This window comes from Homo sapiens, chromosome 3, assembly GCF_000001405.40.
Source record: "Homo sapiens chromosome 3, GRCh38.p14 Primary Assembly".
Classification (NCBI taxonomy): Eukaryota; Metazoa; Chordata; class Mammalia; order Primates; family Hominidae; genus Homo; species Homo sapiens.
The window spans coordinates 38,049,476-38,067,262 of NC_000003.12; the positions used below are offsets into that span (position 1 = coordinate 38,049,476).

At 46.9% G+C, this 17,787-nt stretch overlaps 1 protein-coding gene and 1 pseudogene across 11 annotated transcripts in view, besides 3 other annotated features; both read left to right on the forward strand.

The window, feature by feature from the left end:
- Positions 1 to 17,787, forward strand: part of DLEC1 (DLEC1 cilia and flagella associated protein) — an 84,818-nt gene that overhangs the window by 10,268 nt on the left and 56,763 nt on the right. For all 11 annotated transcript variants that reach the window (XR_940527.3, NM_001321153.2, NM_007335.4 and 8 more), the window contains exons 3-6: positions 10,267 to 10,377; positions 12,694 to 12,893; positions 13,106 to 13,326; positions 14,366 to 14,444. Coding sequence is in view for 10 of the 11 variants with exons in the window: in NM_001321153.2 (NP_001308082.1) it covers positions 10,267 to 10,377; positions 12,694 to 12,893; positions 13,106 to 13,326; positions 14,366 to 14,444 (611 nt within the window). In the remaining variant the exon portion in view is untranslated. The remainder of the gene's footprint in view (positions 1 to 10,266; positions 10,378 to 12,693; positions 12,894 to 13,105; positions 13,327 to 14,365; positions 14,445 to 17,787) is intronic.
- Positions 1,803 to 2,925, forward strand: PPP2R2DP1 (protein phosphatase 2 regulatory subunit Bdelta pseudogene 1; annotated as a pseudogene).
- Positions 3,068 to 3,912: an enhancer, noted in NCBI's record as "H3K27ac-H3K4me1 hESC enhancer chr3:38094034-38094878 (GRCh37/hg19 assembly coordinates)". NCBI's record gives its function as "activates a minimal SCP1, AML or CMV promoter by ChIP-STARR-seq in naive H9 embryonic stem cells {active_cell/tissue: H9 hESC(naive)}" and the evidence as "EXISTENCE:reporter gene assay evidence [ECO:0000049][PMID:30033119]".
- Positions 5,886 to 5,965: an enhancer, noted in NCBI's record as "active region_19677". NCBI's record gives its function as "activates an Ori minimal core promoter by ATAC-STARR-seq in GM12878 lymphoblastoid cells {active_cell/tissue: GM12878}" and the evidence as "EXISTENCE:reporter gene assay evidence [ECO:0000049][PMID:35858748]".
- Positions 5,996 to 6,045: an enhancer, noted in NCBI's record as "active region_19678". NCBI's record gives its function as "activates an Ori minimal core promoter by ATAC-STARR-seq in GM12878 lymphoblastoid cells {active_cell/tissue: GM12878}" and the evidence as "EXISTENCE:reporter gene assay evidence [ECO:0000049][PMID:35858748]".

A 17,787-nucleotide genomic window follows, 5' to 3' on the forward strand; every position in this document is an offset into this window, starting at 1 on the left:
ATCAGAATGCTGCAGAACATCTTGTGCTTTCATTCTTGTCCCTTGCTGGAAACTTGTCCACATTATCCAAGACCTCGCAGAGCCATGCCCAGGAGCCACAGTGTTAGTATAGGAAGCCCACCCTTCCCAGGGGAGAAGAGATGGTCACAAGGCCAGAGCAGGCTTTTCCAAGGCTCGGGGTACATGCCCAGGCCTGACAGCTCCTGCAGACACAGCACCTAGCCACCCATAACCTGGGGCAGGACTGTGGAAAGAATTGTATCAGAAGAGAGAGGATACATCTCTTGTCACATGGCCTTTATCCTTTGTATAGAAGTCTTATCTTTTGATATTTTAAATAGGCCATCACCAAAGTCCTTGGGAACTGGGCTAGTTTGTGTCAACTTGGCATTGCTGTTACCGCCTGCTAAAGTCTCTGTTGCCAAGGAGAGACCAGGGAGTACATTTCCCAGAAGGCACCTCCCACTTGTGCTTCCAGGATAGGTCAGCTGATGAGAAGCCCTTGGTGAGTTTTGGAAAGGAAGGCCATTTATTTCAAAAAGCAGTAGTAGGCAGATGATTGAGTGGCTGTGAGTTTGAAAACAACTTCCAGATAACTTTTTTTTTTTTTCAAGACAGGGTCTCGCTTCATCACCCAGGCTGGAGTGCAGTGGTGCAATCTTAGCTCACTGCAACCCCTGACTCCTGGGCTCAAGTAATCCTCCCACCTCAGCCTCCCTAGTAGCTGGGACCACAGGCACATACCACCACACCCGGCTAGTTTTTTGTATTTTTAGTAGAGACAGGGTCTTGCCATGTTGCCCAGGCTGAGTTTCCAGATAACGTCTTAAGAAAGCCCTGCTTCAGTGCTACTGGCTGAAGTTGTTAATGATGATGTCTTAGTTCATTTGTGTTGCTGTAAAGGAATACCTGAGGCTGGGTAATTTATAAAGAAAAGAGATTGATTTGGCTCATGATTCTGCAGGCTGGAATACTGGGCATCTGGTGAAAGCCTCAGTCTGCTTCCACTCATGGGGGAAGGCAAAGGGGAGCCACGCAGATATCACATGGCGAGAAAGCAAGTGAGAGTGGGGGTTTTGGGGGGGCCAGGTGAGCTAATATAGTGAGGACTCACTCCCTGCCTGCCCCCACCTAGGGCATTCATCTACACATGAGGGGTCCACTCCCATGACCCAACACTTCCCATTGGGCCCCACCTCCAACTTTAGGAAAAAATTTCAGTATAAGATTTGAGGGAACAAACTCCTAAACTATAGCAGATGGCTTCCCTGACATTATTTCCCTCAGTCTTCAATCCTTTGTATTAAAACCTTTAATATTTGATATACATAGATTAGTTTCTGTTTTCCTGATGGAACTCTCAATGAACATATGTGATGGGGGAATGCATGTCTTCACTGATAGGTTGGTTATAGGAGACCTCCAAAAGGAAAGACCATTCAAAGGCACCATGTCTCTCTCTCTCTTTTTTTTTTTTGCTGGAGGGCATTGGCCCCATACTGGCTCACTGCAACCTCCACCTCCCAAGGGATCCTCCCACCTCAGCCTCCAGAGTAGCTGGAACCACAGACGGGCACCACCACACCCACTAATTTTTGTATTTTTTGTAGAGATGGGGTTTCACTGTGTTGCCCAGGCTGGTCTTGAACTCCTGGGCTCAAGCAATCCGCCCACCTCAGCCTCCCACAGTGCTGGGATTACAGGCGTGAGCTACCTCACCTGGCTGGCAACATGTCTTAAGATAATGTTGGCTAATGGAGCAAACAACAAAGTTTGAAAACTTCCAACAAGTCTTCTGTTCGGGCGCTGGTGACAGCCGGGACTGATCGCTCAGCGGCAGTGGCGCAGAGGCCTCCTCCCTGGTCCACCGCGGTCCCCACCCAACCCCACCTGTCCCTGCTGCCTGCTGCCGTAGCAGGAGCTGGAGGCTGCTGCTGCCAGAGGGCAATGAGTTCCAGTGGTGCTTCTCCCAAGTCAATGGGGCCATCGAGGAGGACATGGCTGAAGATCTGCCACAGGGGAGAGGCCAGAAGAGGCTTTGACGACCATCAGTGAGTGACCAGGGGGCTACACAGCCTCACTCTGCAGCAGATATCATTTCCACTGTTGAGTTTAATTACTCTGGAGATCCTGTGGCAGGAGACAAGGACGGTGGAGTCGTTTTTCAGCAGAGCTAGAGAATAAAAGCCGCCCTCATTCTAGGGGAGAATATAATGTTTACAGTACCTTTAAAGGTCATGAACCAGGGTTTGGCTATTAGAAAAGTCTAGAAATTGAGCAAAAAATAAAATTAGGTGGTTACAACAGAACACTGCTCATTTTCTACTCTCTACAAATGATAAAACTATAAAATTATGGAAAAGAAGCGGATGAGATAAAAGAGCAGAAAGTTATAACTTGAATGATGAAGATGGATGACTTCAAGATTCATTTAGAATTACAGCACTATCAATGACCTGAGGATTAATTTATGACACTTAGAAATCACACATAGACATTTTGACGTGGTAGACATCAAACCTGCTAACCTGGAGCAGCTGACAGAAGTCATTGTGGCAGCCAAGTTCCACTCATACCAGTGCAATGTGCTTGTCTACAGTAGTAGCAAAGGAACCATTGACTAAGCAGCATGGGCTCCTCGACCCTGTGCAACAGACACTCCAAGTTTTTTGAAGAGCCTCAAGATCCCAGCAGTAGGTCCTTCTTCTCAGAAATAATTTCATCCATACCCAATGTAAAATGTAGCCATAGTGGGCAGTACCTGATGACCAGAGACTCCCTGTTGGTGAAGGTGTGGGACCTCAACATAGAGAGCAGGCTGGGACCACACCGGGACCACGAGTACCTGCACAGCAAGCTCTGCTTTCTCTATGAGAATGACTGCATCTTTGATAGCTTTGAATGTTGCTGGAATGGTTCGGATAGGTGCATAGTTGAACCACAAATAAGCAAGGGAAATCTCCCAACAGCCAGAAACGAAGAGGGAGCTGAAACCAGAACCGTAGCCTCTAAAGACGTTTATTGCGAGAGAAGCCCCACACCCCTGGCTGGCCTTGGGTGCATCAGCCAATAGCAGGAACCGCTGCCTCCTGTGAACAGCAAGTTGTGGCGCAGAGCTGAAGCCTTGGACCATGAGGTGTGGAGTTGGAACTGCGCCCTCAAAGATGATGAGGTCTCCGTCCACTGGAGTCCAGAGGGAAGTTTATCTGAGATCTTGCATTGGGGTGGCCAAAGCTCCCCTGAGATGTGTAAGCATAGCTTCCCATTACAAGGGTTTGAAGTCCCTCTCTCTCCCTCCCCCTCCGCCTCCTCCTCCCCCTCTCCCTCTCACTGGTCTCCCTCTGATGCCACCAAAGTTGTGAAAGCCGAGGCTGGACTGTACTGCCGCCATCTCGGCTCACTGCAACCTCCCTGCCTGATTCTCCTGCCTCAGCCTGCCGAGTGCCTGAGATTGCAGGGGCGCGCCGCCACGCCTGACTGGTTTTCGTATTTTTTTGGTGGAGACGGGGTTTCGCTGTGTTGGCCGGGCTGGTCTCCAGCTCCTAACCGCGAGTGATCTGCCAGCCTCGGCCTCTCGAGGTGCCGGGATTGTAGACGGAGTCTCGTTCACTCAGTGCTCAATGTTGCCCAGGCTGGAGTGCAGTGGCGTGATCTCGGCTCGCTACAACCTCCACCTCCCAGCCGCCTGCCTTGGCCTCCCAAAGTGCCGAGATTGCAGCCTCTGCCCAGCGGCCACCCCATCTGGGAAGTGAGGAGCGTCTCTGCCTGGCCGCCCATCGTCTGGGATGTGAGGAGCCCCTCTGCCCGGCCGCCCAGTCTGGGAAGTGAGGAGCGCCTCTTCCCGGCCGCCATCCCATCTAGGAAGTGAGGAGCGTCTCTGCCCGGCCGCCCATTGTCTGAGATGTGGGGAGTGCCTCTGCCCCGCCGCTCCGTCTGGGATGTGAGGAGCGCCTCTGCCCGGCCGCGACCCCGTCTGGGAGGTGAGGAGCATCTCTGCCCAGCCGCCCTGTCTGAGAAGTGAGGAGCCCCTCCGCCCGGCAGCCGCCCCGTCTGGGAAGTGAGGAGCGTCTCCACCCGGCAGCTGCCCCGTCCGGGAGGTGGGGGGCAGCCCCCGCCCGGCCAGCCGCCCCATCCGGGAGGTGGGGGGCGCCTCTGCCCGGCCGCCCCTTCTGGGAAGTGAGGAGCCCCTCTGCCCAGCGGCCACCCCGTCTGGGAGGTGTACCCAACAGCTCATTGAGAACGGGCCATGATGACGATGGCGGTTTTGTTGAATGGAAAAGGGGGAAATGTGGGGAAAAGATAGAGAAATCAGATTGTTGCTGTGTCTGTGTAGAAAGAAGTAGACATAGGAGACTCCATTTTGTTCTGTACTAAGAAAAATTCTTCTGCCTTGGGATGGTGTTAATCTATAACCTTACCCCCAACCCCGTGCTCTCTGAAACATGTGCTGTTTCCACTCAGGGTTAAATGGATTAAGGGCGGTGCAAGATGTGCTTTGTTAAACAGATGCTTGAAGGCAGCATGCTCCTTAAGAGTCATCACCACTCCCTAATCTCAAGTACCCAGGGACACAAACACTGCGGAAGGCCGCAGGGTCCTCTGCCTAGGAAAACCAGAGACCCTTGTTCACTTGTTTATCTGCTGACCTTCCCTCCACTATTGTCCTATGACCCTGCCAAATCCCCCTCTCCGAGAAACACCCAAGAATGATCAATAAATACTAAAAAAAAAAACAAAACAAAAAAACAAACAAACAAACAAAAACAAAAACAAGGGTTTGAAGTTTGTGTTGGTGGCAGCTGCGTGATCTGGAAAAGCTCACACTGAGGAGCTCTCCTGCCTCCATGAGGGCAGCGTGCAGGCGCCTGGAGGCACTGACGTTTTTCTGGGTCTGACTTCTACTCTGTTTACAGACTAATCTGCTAGCCTACAGTGTTTCACAGATGTTGACTGAAGACATGAGGTTCCTGGGTCCTTGGAGCACAGCAAGCAGCATGAGCCTCTTGCTGGCACAGGTTTCCCAGGGGGTGACACAAGGGGCCCAGGCAGATGCTATGCAAGCAGTGGGGCTGATGTCATGGCCGATGCATGCTGAGGTTGGAGAACTCACTGCTTTTTCAGTGGACAGTCAACAAACCTGCACTTTGACTAGAAGAAACATGACCTCATTCCTCTAGACCACTTGCTGTAAGCACAGCCCTGAGAAGTGGCCCAGGTTAAAAGAATGGTGTTCTTTGCAAACTTAGTGAGAACATGCATGGTGGGTGGCTGCTCCCAGCACACCCAGGTCTCTCTGGATTTCCCCAGATTAAAACCAGCTAAACATGAGCTCACAGGTAAAATTACCAAGCACATATGGGAAAAGCCACCACGAGTAAGTCAGCAGAACCACAGCGGAACTGAACCTCAGAGAACCCAGCCTTTGACATCCTAAATTAAACTAAGAATGCTTGAGATATTTACAGACTAAAGGAAGGAAACAGCCTGAACCAGGAGCCACAAGACCACTAAAATGACCTGGCAGACTGGAGAGGAATCAAAGAGAACGTCTGGAAATGACAAGTACAATAGATGAAACTGTGGGTTTAACAACAGGCCCATTTTGGCTAGAGATTTTGAATTAGTAGATGGAAAGGAAAATCAGAAGAAATGCAGACTAGAGAGCCAAAGAGATAGAAAACATGAAACATAAGAAGTGTGGAGGTCAGGATGAGGCACAGCACACATTTAAACAGAGAAGTGTGGGGACATGAGGCTTAAAGTGACAGTGGCCAGGAATTTTCTGTAAGTTATGAAAGCCTGAATACACAGAAGCAGGAAGCACAGAAATCCACATCCATATCATCATGAAACTGCAGGACACCAAGTGCAAAGAGAAGATCTTAAATGCAGCCAAGGAAAAAGCACAAATTACAGAGAGCAGATGCTGAGACTGAGAGTAGACTTTATAGCAGCCACAGTGGGAGCCGGAAGCCATGTGATACAGTGAGTGTGACTTGGGACTCTTCACCATCAGCTTAGAATCAGGCATTGAAATAGATGGTTGTTCAAGAATCTGCTTATGGTAAAGGCATTTCCAGATGGGAAACAGAATTTATCACAACAGGAAACTCAGGAGAGTGAGACTCAAGGAACTCACTGAAGAACGTACTTCCAGCAGAAGGAGAGTGGTCCTGGAGAAAGGGTGTGATTCTGAGATAGGCAGATGAACAGAGCAGTCAGTGAAGACGTGAGCAACGGAAAGCAACGTGGACTCTAAAGCTCTGTTAACTGGGTGACCCTGGTTATCTGGGTTGCGGGGAGAAAAATTAGAGCCCTCACCAACACCACACAGCAAATAAGCTCTGAATGTTTTAAAGCCTAGAAGACGCTATGGGAGAGCATCTTCATGGCTCTGGAGATGAAAGGCCTTCTTTAACAAGGTCCTAAATGCCCAGTGAAGGAAAACATTAAGAAATTCAGGCTGATCGTGCTGGCTCAAGCCTGTAATCCCAGCACTTCGGGAGACCGAGTTGGGTGGATCACTTGAGCCCAGGAGTTTGAGACCAGCCTGGGCAAAATGGTGAAATCTGATCTCTACAAAAAATACACACACACACACACACACACACACACACACACACACACACACACACACACACAAATAGCTGAGTGTGGTGGCATGCGCCTCCCAGCTACTTGGGAGGCTGAGATGGGAGGATCACCTGAGCTAGGGAGGTGGAGGTTGCAATAAGCTGAGATCGTGCCATCACACTCCAGCCTGGGTGATAGAATGAGACCCTGTCTCAAAAAAAAACAATACTGTAGTTAAATTTAGTGGTTTTTGGTTTTTTGGTTTTGTTTTTGTTTTTTGAGACAGAGTCTTGCTGTGTTGCCCAGGCTGGAGTGTAGTGGCTCAATCTAGATCCACTGCAACCTCTCTCTCCTGGGTTCAAGTGATTCTCCTGCCTCAGCCTCCTGAGTAGCTGGGATTACAGGCATGTGCCACGAGGCCTGGCTGATTTTTGTATTTTTAATAGAGATGGGGTTTTACCATGTTGGCCAGGCTGGTCTTGAACTCTTGACCTCAAGTGATCTGCCCACCTCGGCCTCCCAAAGTGCTGGGATTACAGGCGTGAGCCACCATGCCCGGCCAACTACATTAAATTTTAAACTTCTTTATTTTGAAATAAAAAGTAAAAACAGGCTGCTCTGCCTATGGAGTAGCCATTCTTTTATTCCTTTACTTTGTTAATAAACTAGCTTTCATCTTAAAAAAAAAGTGAAAACAAAATCCACAAAAGCAAATATAACGAACAGATTCAGTATCCAAAATATGTAAAGAATTAGGAGTCAACAAGAAGGTGGCAAACAGCTCACTTAGGAAAGAGCAAAAACCATGACTGGGAATTTGCAGAAATGGAAAAATAAATAAAAATGCTCATTCTTAGTGATCAGCAAATTAGAGCCAGAGGGATGTCCTTTCACACCCATCAGAATGATGATGATGATGTCAGGGAAAGGAATGAAGGCCAGTGGGCGAGACCACTGCCTTTTTGTGGGCCTCCTTGGTGGCAGCAAGTCCAGTTGGGAGCTTCTTGTATGTACAGACAAGAAAATGTATTCAGAAGCTTGAAATAGCAAACACCTGGAGACAGCTCAGGGGTGCATCATTAGGGGAATGGATAGGTAGGTTGTTGTCTATCATATGCTAAAAAGCAGTAAGAATCAATTATTTGAACTACATGGATCACAGCTGGGCACAGTGGCTCACGCCTGTAATCCCAGTACTTTGGGAGGCCAAGGCGGGCAGATCACCTGAGGTCAGGAGTTTGAGACCAGCCTGGCCAACATGGTGAAACCCCGTCTCTACTAAAAATACAAAACATTAGCTGGGCGTGGTGGCACGAGCCTGTAGTCCCAGCTACTCAGGCAGCTGAGGTAGGAGAAGCGCTTGAACCCAGGAAGCAGAAGTTGCAGTGAGCTGAGATCATGCCACTGCACTCCAGCCTGGATGACAGAGCGAGACTGTGTCTCAAAAAAAAAAAGAACTACATGGATCACATAGGTGGATCTCACAAAGATAAAGATAATCCGCAAAGAAAGAAAATTCAGGCGGAACACATACAGTGTGATGACATTTGACATGTTATATTTAAGGCATGCAGAAGTTTTATTTGTTTTTAAGAATCTGTAACTATTCAAAAATATAAACGTGCATGGGGATGATACATACGTACTCTAGTGAGTGATTTCCCCAGCTGGGGACAGGATTGGAGATGATCTTTCTAGAGTGGGACATGGTGGAGGTTAACTGTCTTAGCAATGACTTATGGGTACTTGGATACTCACTGTATTATTCCTTTTTTTTTTTTTTTTTGAGACAGAGTCTCGCTCTGTTGCCCAGGCTGGAGTGCAGTGGCGCAATCTCGGCTCACTGCAAACTCCACCTCCTGGGTTCACGCCATTCTCCTGCCTCAGCCTCCTGAGTAGCTGGGACTATAGGCGCCCGCCACCACACCTGGCTAATTTTTGTATTTTCAGTAGAGACGGGGTTTCACCGTGGTCTCGATCTCCTGACCTCGTGATCCGCCTGCCTCAGCCTCCCAAAGTGGTGGGATTACAGCATGAGCCACCGTGCCCGGCCCACTGTATTATTCTTTGTTCCTCTTGATATATCTGAAATATTGTGAAGTATACTTAAATTACACATCCCTAAGAATATCCAAAAGCTCTCCTGGTAATATTTGCTTACTCCATTCACTCTTACAAACACTCCCATATCTTCTTGCCTGGAAACATCTGTTGAGGGATGGGATGAAGGGGAATGAGATTTTTCAGTGCTCTCTCTGCCCAGTCCTGATCCCCTGTGTGACACCACTTTCTGGTGCTCTAGGTTGCCCCGCAAAACCAGACATAGCCGCTTGCTCTTGAGTGTGTCTGCACTGTCCCTACCTCAGGCCAGCACCGATGCAGGCGGCTAGGCGGCTGTCTTGTTTACAGTGTGGAAATGCCCACTCCCAGGCCAGCATTGCCTATCAATAATTGACAAGTGATAATAAAACTGTATAAAAGCTGAAAAAGTCTTATATTCTTCCTGTTTTTTCTTTAATTTTTATCAAAGTAATAAATATATATGGTTTTTAAAAATCAAATAGTTTAGAAGAACTTCTAATGAAGAATAAAAAGCCTCCACCTGTACATTATAAATTTGTACAAATGCACAGAATGTACACCACCAAGAGTGACCTGTAATGTAAACATGGACTTTGGGTGATAATAATGTGTCTATGTAGGTTCTTCAGTAGTAACAAATGTATCTCTCTAGTGGGGGACGTTGATAATGGTGGAGGCTGTGCATGCAGGGGCTGTATGGGGAATCTTTGTACCTTCCTCTCAATTTTGCTGCAAACCTATAACTGGTCTAAAAATAAAGTCTATTTTTAAAAAAGCCTTTTCCACCTCACCTCTCCCAACCTCAGTCCACTTGCCAAAGGTAGCCATTGCTAGTTTTAATTCTTTGGAATACCTATAAATAATGTTATTTATATGTTATATAAATAATAATGTGTTTGCTACTATTTCTGGGCTCATCACCCATAGACGTTAATTATCACCTTTCCTCTCTTGAGATTTTCTCTCTCCTGTATCTGCAGGTCAGTGGGGAATTGGCCGAGCTGGCTGGGCTTGGCTGGCTGGACTGGCTCCAAGCTGTGGGTCCAGCTAGGCATGTCTCCTTCGTAGGTCAGGCTCAGGTCTGCTCTGGATTCCCCCTGGGGTCTAAGATGAAGGGACAGGGAAGCTCTTGTCACAATAATGGCAAAGCCACAAGAGGGAAGGCTCAGCTGCACAAGTGCATTTCAAACCTTTGCTAACATCTCATTGGCCAAAGCACGTCACATGGCCACAGTCAGGAGTGAAGAAGTGCACTGTCTCTAGTAGCAGGCACTGCAAAGTCACATAGTCAAGGGCCTGGATATAGACAGAAGTGAAGAACTGGGACCTTTTATTCAATCTACCATATTTCTCATAATTCTGTTTTCTTATAGACTTCTCTGTAACAGTATTTTAGCTCAAATAATACAACACAGCTTTGCCCAATGGTTGGCCTCTTTTAAGTGGCTGATAGATACTTGATGAGTTTCTTAAATCTCAACATTCCCACAGGTTTCTGAGAAGGAATTTTGTTAGATAGTTTAGGCTTGGCGGATGAAGAAAGTTTGGGTGTGGGTTCTTCAAAGTCAGTCTGGCTGGAAACACCTTGTTCTCCCCTTCCCTTCTATGAAGTGAAGAGTGTCTCCAGATGGTGTATAGACAGCGAGTTGCTACGGAAACATCATTTGATCTCCCCAGAAGATTACTACACCGATACAGTGCCGTTTCACTCTGCACCTAAAGGTAATGCTTCTGTGCTCTCAAGGCCTCTGATACCATTTGGGGGAAGTTCAGTAGGGCCACGTTGGCCACCTCTGCTGCCATTTCCTTGCTCAGAGGTTTTTTTCACCTTTTCTTTAATTTCGATGGTGACTGTTGGGAAAGTCAAATCTGAGCATCTGAGCATGCCAATTTCTTGCTAGTGCTCCCCCGCCTGTATGACTGAAGTCCAGGCTTCTCCATGTGGACTATGATGCCCACATCTGCTGCCCAATACCAAGAATTATGTAAGTGCTTGGAGTTGCAGTTGAACCAAGAGAAGGAAAAACTGAAGACATAGAAAAGCAAGGGAGCGTGTACCTGATGAGTTGGAGCAGGGACTTATGGGTTTTCCCATGCAGGAAAAGAGCAGCTTCTCATCCTTTCAGAATGGAGGGAAGCCTGGGTAGAGAGGCAGAGAGGGTGTGTACATGTATGTGACATTGGGCCAGTTTCCTGTGATATGGGAGGCAAGATATTCTGAGAATGAGTGGGGTGGGAGGCTGTGATGTGGGCTTAAGCAGCGAGTTAGACTTATGGAAGAGTCCACACGTGGACAGGGAGAAGTCCCTGTGTGGATTCTGTGGCCAGTTATCGGGATTGCCTAGCATGCTGGGCTCAGAAGACAAGCTCTCCCATAGCTCCAGTTGAGGGACTGTTTGATTCTCTGGGGCTTGGGAGCTGAGAAGGTGTTTGGGGTGGGAGGATTGGGATCTAGAAAATTGAGGGTGCTCCTGGGGAGAGTTCCACTGATGGTCTGAGCTACGTAGGGAAGTAAGGCAAGAAAGAGGTAGCAGAATCAAGTGTCATGGAGTACTAAGCCACTTAGTATTTTTTTTTTTTTGAGGCAGAGTTTCACTTTTGTTGTCCAGGCTAGAGTGCAATGGCACGATCTTGGCTCACCACAACCTCCATCTCCCAGGTTCAAGCAATTCTCCTTCCTCAGCCTCCCAAGTAGCTGGGATTACAGGCGTGTGCCACCACACCTGGCTAATTTTGTATTTTTAGTAGAGAGGGGGTTTCTCCATGTTGGTCTCAAACTCCTGACCTCAGGTGATCCACCCACCTCAGCCTCCCAAAGTGCTGGGATTACAGGCATGAGCCACCGCACCCGGCCACCACTTAGTATTTTAAAGTTAGTTGGAAACTCAGTATCTTATGCAGGTCAATAAGAATGGGGCTAACATGTATTGAGAGTTAACCAGGCATTGTGCTAAGAGATTTGTGATGGTATCCATTTGATTGCATTCTTGCTAGCAATGAATGTTCTCATTTAACCTTTGGAGGGATGGTTTTCTTGTTTGTTTGTTTGTTTGTTTGTTTTTTCTTGAGACAGAGTCTCGCTTTGTCACCCAGGCCAGAGTACAGTGGTGTGATCTACTGCAACCTCTGCCTCCTGGGTTCAAGCGTTTCTCCTGCTTCAGCCTCAGCCTCCTGAGTAGCTGGGATTAAAGGCGCCTGCCATCATGCCTGGATAATTTTTTTGTATTTTTAGTAGAGACAGGGTTTCACCATGTTGGCCAGGCTGGTTTCCAACTCCTGACCTCAAGTGATCCGCCGGCCTCAGCCTCCCAAATTGCCAGGATTACAGGCATGAGCCACTGCGCTTGGCCAGGGGGTGGGGGATGATCTTAACAGTGTAAAAAGCTCATACAAACTTTCATTCCTTCTGTGAGCTCTTCAGAAAGCATGCTCATGTATGGGGTATGTGTACAGGCATGTGTGTGTGACAGTGGTCTACTCATGTTCTTTGACCATGTTGGAAAATATTTTAACACTCTAGTCCTAAATTTTGTTGTTGTTTGTTTGTTTGTTTTTGAGACCGGGTCTTGCTTTGTTGCCCAGGCTGGAGTGCAGAAGCACAACCATAACTCACTACAACCTTGACCTCCTGTGCTGAAGTAATTCTCCCCACTCAGCCTCCTGAGCATCTGGGACCACAGGCATGCACTACCACACCCAGCAAATTTTTAAATTTATTTTTTGTAGAGATAGGGTCTCACTCTCACTATGTTGCCAAGGCTGGTGTCAACTCCTGGGCTTAAGTGATGCTCCCACCTTGGCCTCCCAAAGTGCTGGGATGATAGGTGTGAGCCACCACACATGGCCATTTTGAATACATAGAATAAGTTCCAGGAGTAATTCATATGTTGAAGAGCAATTATAGCTGGTGTGGTAAATATGAAAGTTTAGGAGAAAGATCAAGCTAACTGTGGCTTTGGTGGTTTTATTTGGTCATCTTAGGAATGCCCACCTCCTCACCTTGTTGCAGTGATTCAGTTTGTTTCCTTGATGCTGTAGGCATCTCCCTACCTGGATGTTCAAAACTGACATTTAGCTGTGAGAAGCGTTCCGTCCAGAAGAAAGAGCTGAACAAGAAGCTTGAAGATTCATGCAGGAAGAAGCTTGCTGAGTTCGAAGATGAGTTAGACCACACTGTGGACAGCCTGACATGGAATTTAACTCCTAAGGCCAAAGAAAGGACCAGAGAACCTCTCAAGGTCAGTTTGGAAGGCTGTGCAGAGCAGTGTTTGGGGGGACAGAGAGGCAGTGAAGGGGAAGGCATTCAGATGACATGAGAAGCTGTGATGAATCCATCGCAAAATAGAGTAGAGCTTGTGTTGGCCATCTATGGGTCATGCAGTTGGTCAAGATGTCAACAAGCACAATCCCTTTGCCTGTCATTGACTCTATGCTTTTGTATGTTTCAAAGAAAGCAAGTCAACCAAGGAATAAAAACTGGATGAACCACTTACGTGTGCCACAGAGAGAGCTAGACAGACTTCTGCTTGCCAGAATGGAGAGTCGGAACCACTTCCTAAAAAATCCCCGTTTTTTTCCTCCTAACACTCGATATGGAGGCAAGTCTCTTGTTTTTCCTCCAAAGAAGCCAGCACCGATAGGAGAATTCCAGAGTACAGAGCCAGAACAGAGGTATGTCTTTCTCTGGCTTGAACTCTCAGAAAACCTGGCCCATGAGAGTTAACCTAGATGGTCCTCCGTTTGGTCTGGCTGTAGAGGTCCCTAGACTTGTGGGGCAGGGTAGCAGTATCAGAACAGAGCAGGGCTGCAGGGTCACCCACTGGTGTGGCCTTTGAACCTTCCCCAGAGTCCTGGGTTTATGCTTTTCTGACCTGCCAGGGGTCTTGAGAAATAGGGGTTGGTGTTGGCCCTTTATTTACATTGGAGCAATCTGGGTCAAATGGAAGCAATCCCGTTAGAGACATAGGTCTTGAGTAATAACAGCATTTGAAATTTGATTGATTATAAATAATTAGTGTAAACTGTGATTTTTCTTTAAGAGTGCCTTTGCCTATATATCAGTAACTGTCCTTATGAAAGTAATGAGTTGCTTCATGGGTTCATAATTTTAGTAAGCCTAAAACTATTAACATTTCTTTATTAGACAACTAATATTTTTTATTAAGAAAAATTAGATACAAAAACTAGCTGGGTATGGTGGCATGCACCTGTGATCCCAGCCACTTGGGAGGCGGAAGTGGAAGGATCACCTGAGCACAGGGGTGTCGAGGCTGCAGTGAGCCAAGATTGTGCCACTGCACTCCAGCCTAGGTGACAGAGTGAGACCCTGTCAAAAAGAAAATAGAAGAGAAGAGAAGAGAGGAGGAGAAAAGAGAAAGAAAAGAAAGAAAGATTAGAAAAGACTAATATTTGAGATACCTATATTAAAAACCCACTTACTTATTGGTGTTTAAACATGTAGAGTTTTTCCTATGCATATTGAAAATGAAATATGTAGCTACTTATGTCTTCACAAAGATTGGATCATACTGTAAAATTATTTTATAACCTGCATTAACAATAAGATCCAAAAACCCCCCAACAAATGGTATATTGTGAATATCTTTGATGGTCTTTATGTATTTATTTTTACATTAATCAGTCACTGCCTACTATTTCATTGTATGGATGAAACTAACAGCCTTTCTCCCCCTCTTTTTTCATCCCACAGTTGTGCTGATACTCCAGTGTTTCTAGCTAAGCCACCAATTGGGTTTTTCACAGATTATGAAATTGGTCCAGTTTATGAGGTAGACATCTTGTTTCTTTACAGCTCCCACCCCATCTGCTTTCTTATTTTTAAAAAGTCTTTATTATGGAAATTTTCTTTTTTTTTTCTTTTTTTTTTTTTTTTTAGTATTTATTGATCATTCTTGGGTGTTTCTCGGAGAGGGGGATTTGGCAGGGTCTAGGACAATAGTGAAGGGAAGGTCAGCAGATAAACATGTGAACAAAGGTCTCTGGTTTTCCTAGGCAGAGGGCCCTGCCGCCTTCCGCAGTGTTTGTGTCCCTGGGTACTTGAGATTAGGGAGTGGTGATGACTCTTAACGAGCATGCTGCCTTCAAGCATCTGTTTAACAAAGCACATCTTGCACCGCCCTTAATTCATTTAACCCTGAGTGGACAGAGCACATGTTTCAGAGAGCACGGGGTTGGGGGTAAGGTTATAGATTAACACCATCCCAAGGCAGAAGAATTTTTCTTAGTACAGAACAAAATGGAGTCTCCTATGTCTACTTCTTTCTATACAGACACAGTAAAAATCTGATCTCTCTTTCTTTTCCCCACATTTCCCCCTTTTCTATTTGACAAAACCGCCATCGGCATCATGGCCCGTTCTCCATGAGCTATTGGGTACACCTCCCAGACGGGGTGGCGGCCGGGCAGAGGGGCTCCTCACTTCCCGGACGGGGCGGCCGGGCAGAGGCTCCCCCACCACCTCCCGGGAAGGGCGGCTAGCCGGGCGGGGGCTGCCCCCCACCTCCCGGACGGGGTGGCTGCGGGGCAGAGACACTCCTCAGTTCCCAGACGGGGTCGCGGCCGGGCAGAGGCGCTCCTCACATCTCAGACGGGGCGGCGGGGCAGAGGCGCTCCCCACATCCCAGACGATGGGCGGCCGGGCAGAGACGCTCCTCACTTCCTAGATGGGATGACGGCCAGGAAGAGGCGCTCCTCACTTCCCAGACTGGGCGGCCGGGCAGAGGGGCTCCTCACATCCCAGACGATGGGCGGCCAGGCAGAGACGCTCCTCACTTCCTAGATGGGGTGGCGGCCGGGCAGAGGCTGCAAACTCAGCACTTTGGGAGGCCAAGGCAGGCGGCTGGGAGGTGGAGGTTGTAGCGAGCCGAGATCATGCCACTGCACTCCAGCCTGGGCAACATTGAGCACTGAGTGAGCGAGACTCCGTCTGCAATCCCGGCACCTCGGGAGGCTGAGGCTGGCAGATCACTCGTGGTCAGGAGCTGGAGACCAGCCCGGCCAGCACAGCGAAACCCCGTCTCCACCAAAAAACACGAAAACCAGTCATGCGTGGCGGCGCACGCCTGCAATCGCAGGCACTCGGCAGGCTGAGGCAGGAGAATCAGGCAGGGAGGTTGTAGTGAGTCGAGATGGCGGCAGTACAGTCCAGCCTCCGCTCGGCATCAGAGGGAGACCGTGCAGAGGGAGAGGGAGAGGGAGGAGAGGGAGACTGTGCAGAGGGAGAGGGAGAGGGAGAGGGAGGAGAGGAAGACCGTGCAGAGGGAAAGGGAGAGGGAGAGGGCGGAAATTTTTAACTGTACACAAAACTAGGGAAAAGACTATAACTACTCCTCATGTGCCCAATATGCAGCTTCAACAGTTATCTACATTTTGCCAATCTGGTTTTGTCTATTACTCCTACAACCTCTTCATGTACACATCTATATGCACATGTATGTGCTGGAGTCATAGAAGGAAAATATGATATCATGTCATTCTTCAGTTAATACATCAATTAGTATCTCTAACAGATAAGGGTTTTAAAAAGTAACCATAGTACCACTGTCACACCCAGCCATATTAATAATGATTCCTTAATATCAACTAATACCCATCTATGTCTGATCTTCATTTGTTTTAAAAAAAAGTCCATTTATATTTGGTTTCTTTGCATCAGAATCTAAACATTGCATTTGATTAAAGTATCTCTTAATTCTCCTTTAGTTGATAATAATTCCTCTCCCACCTCCTGCTTTTTAAAAATGCCATTTATTTGTTGAAGAAACTGCAATTTCGTACACCCTGGATTTGGCTAATTGCGTTATTGTGGTGACATTAAACGTGTTCTTTTATCTTCCATATTTTCCACAAACTGGTCATTAGATATAGAGATTTGATGAGATTCAAGTTCCATTTTTCCTCTTTTTTGACAAGAATACTTCCTTGGTGGTACTGTGTATTTCTTATTGCAATCCATCAGGAGGAAGCATGGGATCTGGGTTTCCCATGATCAGTTATGAATGGCATCAGGTGTTGAAATTCTGATTCATTCTCTATAAAGTTCTTATCAAACTTTCACTTAATAGTTAACAGCCTAGATGACTGCCAGATGACTATTGTCCAGATCCATTTTTTCTTCAATCAGGGCTTACAAAATGGTAATTTCTAATTCTATTATTCCATCTACATTTATTAGCTTGATTTTCCATTTAAAAAACAGAATAAAACTTTCCCTCTAACTTTGATTCCTGCCTCCTCCTCTTTCTTGTACTCTCCTGATATCTATAGGTAACTATTTCTATTAGTTTGCATTCTTCCATTGTTTCTTTTTGAACCATAAGCAAATATGTATATATAGTTGAACCCCCTTTCCTTCTTACTGTCCTCTACATCTTAACAGTATATCCAGTAATTCCTGCAAGAGCAGAGGCTTTCCTCATTCCTTTTTCCCAGCTTCTTTCTTTTAGAAGCTTCCCACCTTCTTGGGGAATCAGGTCAAGACCAAGCTTAGCAGTCACCAACTCTGCTCACCAGGTACAAAGACAACTAGGCCTAATGATAGCAATCCCTTCACATGCACATGGATTGCATTTTATAGTTTAAAGAGCACTTGCCTATCCATAATTCTTGAGGAATGTCTCAACCACTCATGGCAAAAAGCAGACCAATATGGTAGCTCTATATGCTGAACATTAGAGGAAGCATTTTGCTTACTCCCTGGACTTAACAGTAATGTGTTGTCTTTTGTACTTCTGTGTCTGGGACTTCTGTGTCTGGCCATCACGTTTTAAGGACAGTTGTAGAAGCTGGCAAACACCCAGAGGAAAGGAGCTAAAATCATGTCAGTTAGGGAATAGAATAGGGAAAAGGGAGAGCTGCTGATGGACTTATGGAAGATATTCTTCTTCAGGGCTTTCAGATGCCTGCTGTGGAAGCCTGTGCTCAGAGCCTGGAGATCCTGAGGCTGTAGATGAGGTAGACATAGACTGCTATGGAACAGTCTTTCCTCTGATCTTTGCCTACTTGTCTAATTCTCATCCCTTTGATGTTCATAACAGTTGTTTACCCGGCTAAACTATAAAGTGTAAGGATAAAAACAGTTCAAATTTTCAGTCTTTAAAAATTTATGTCCCA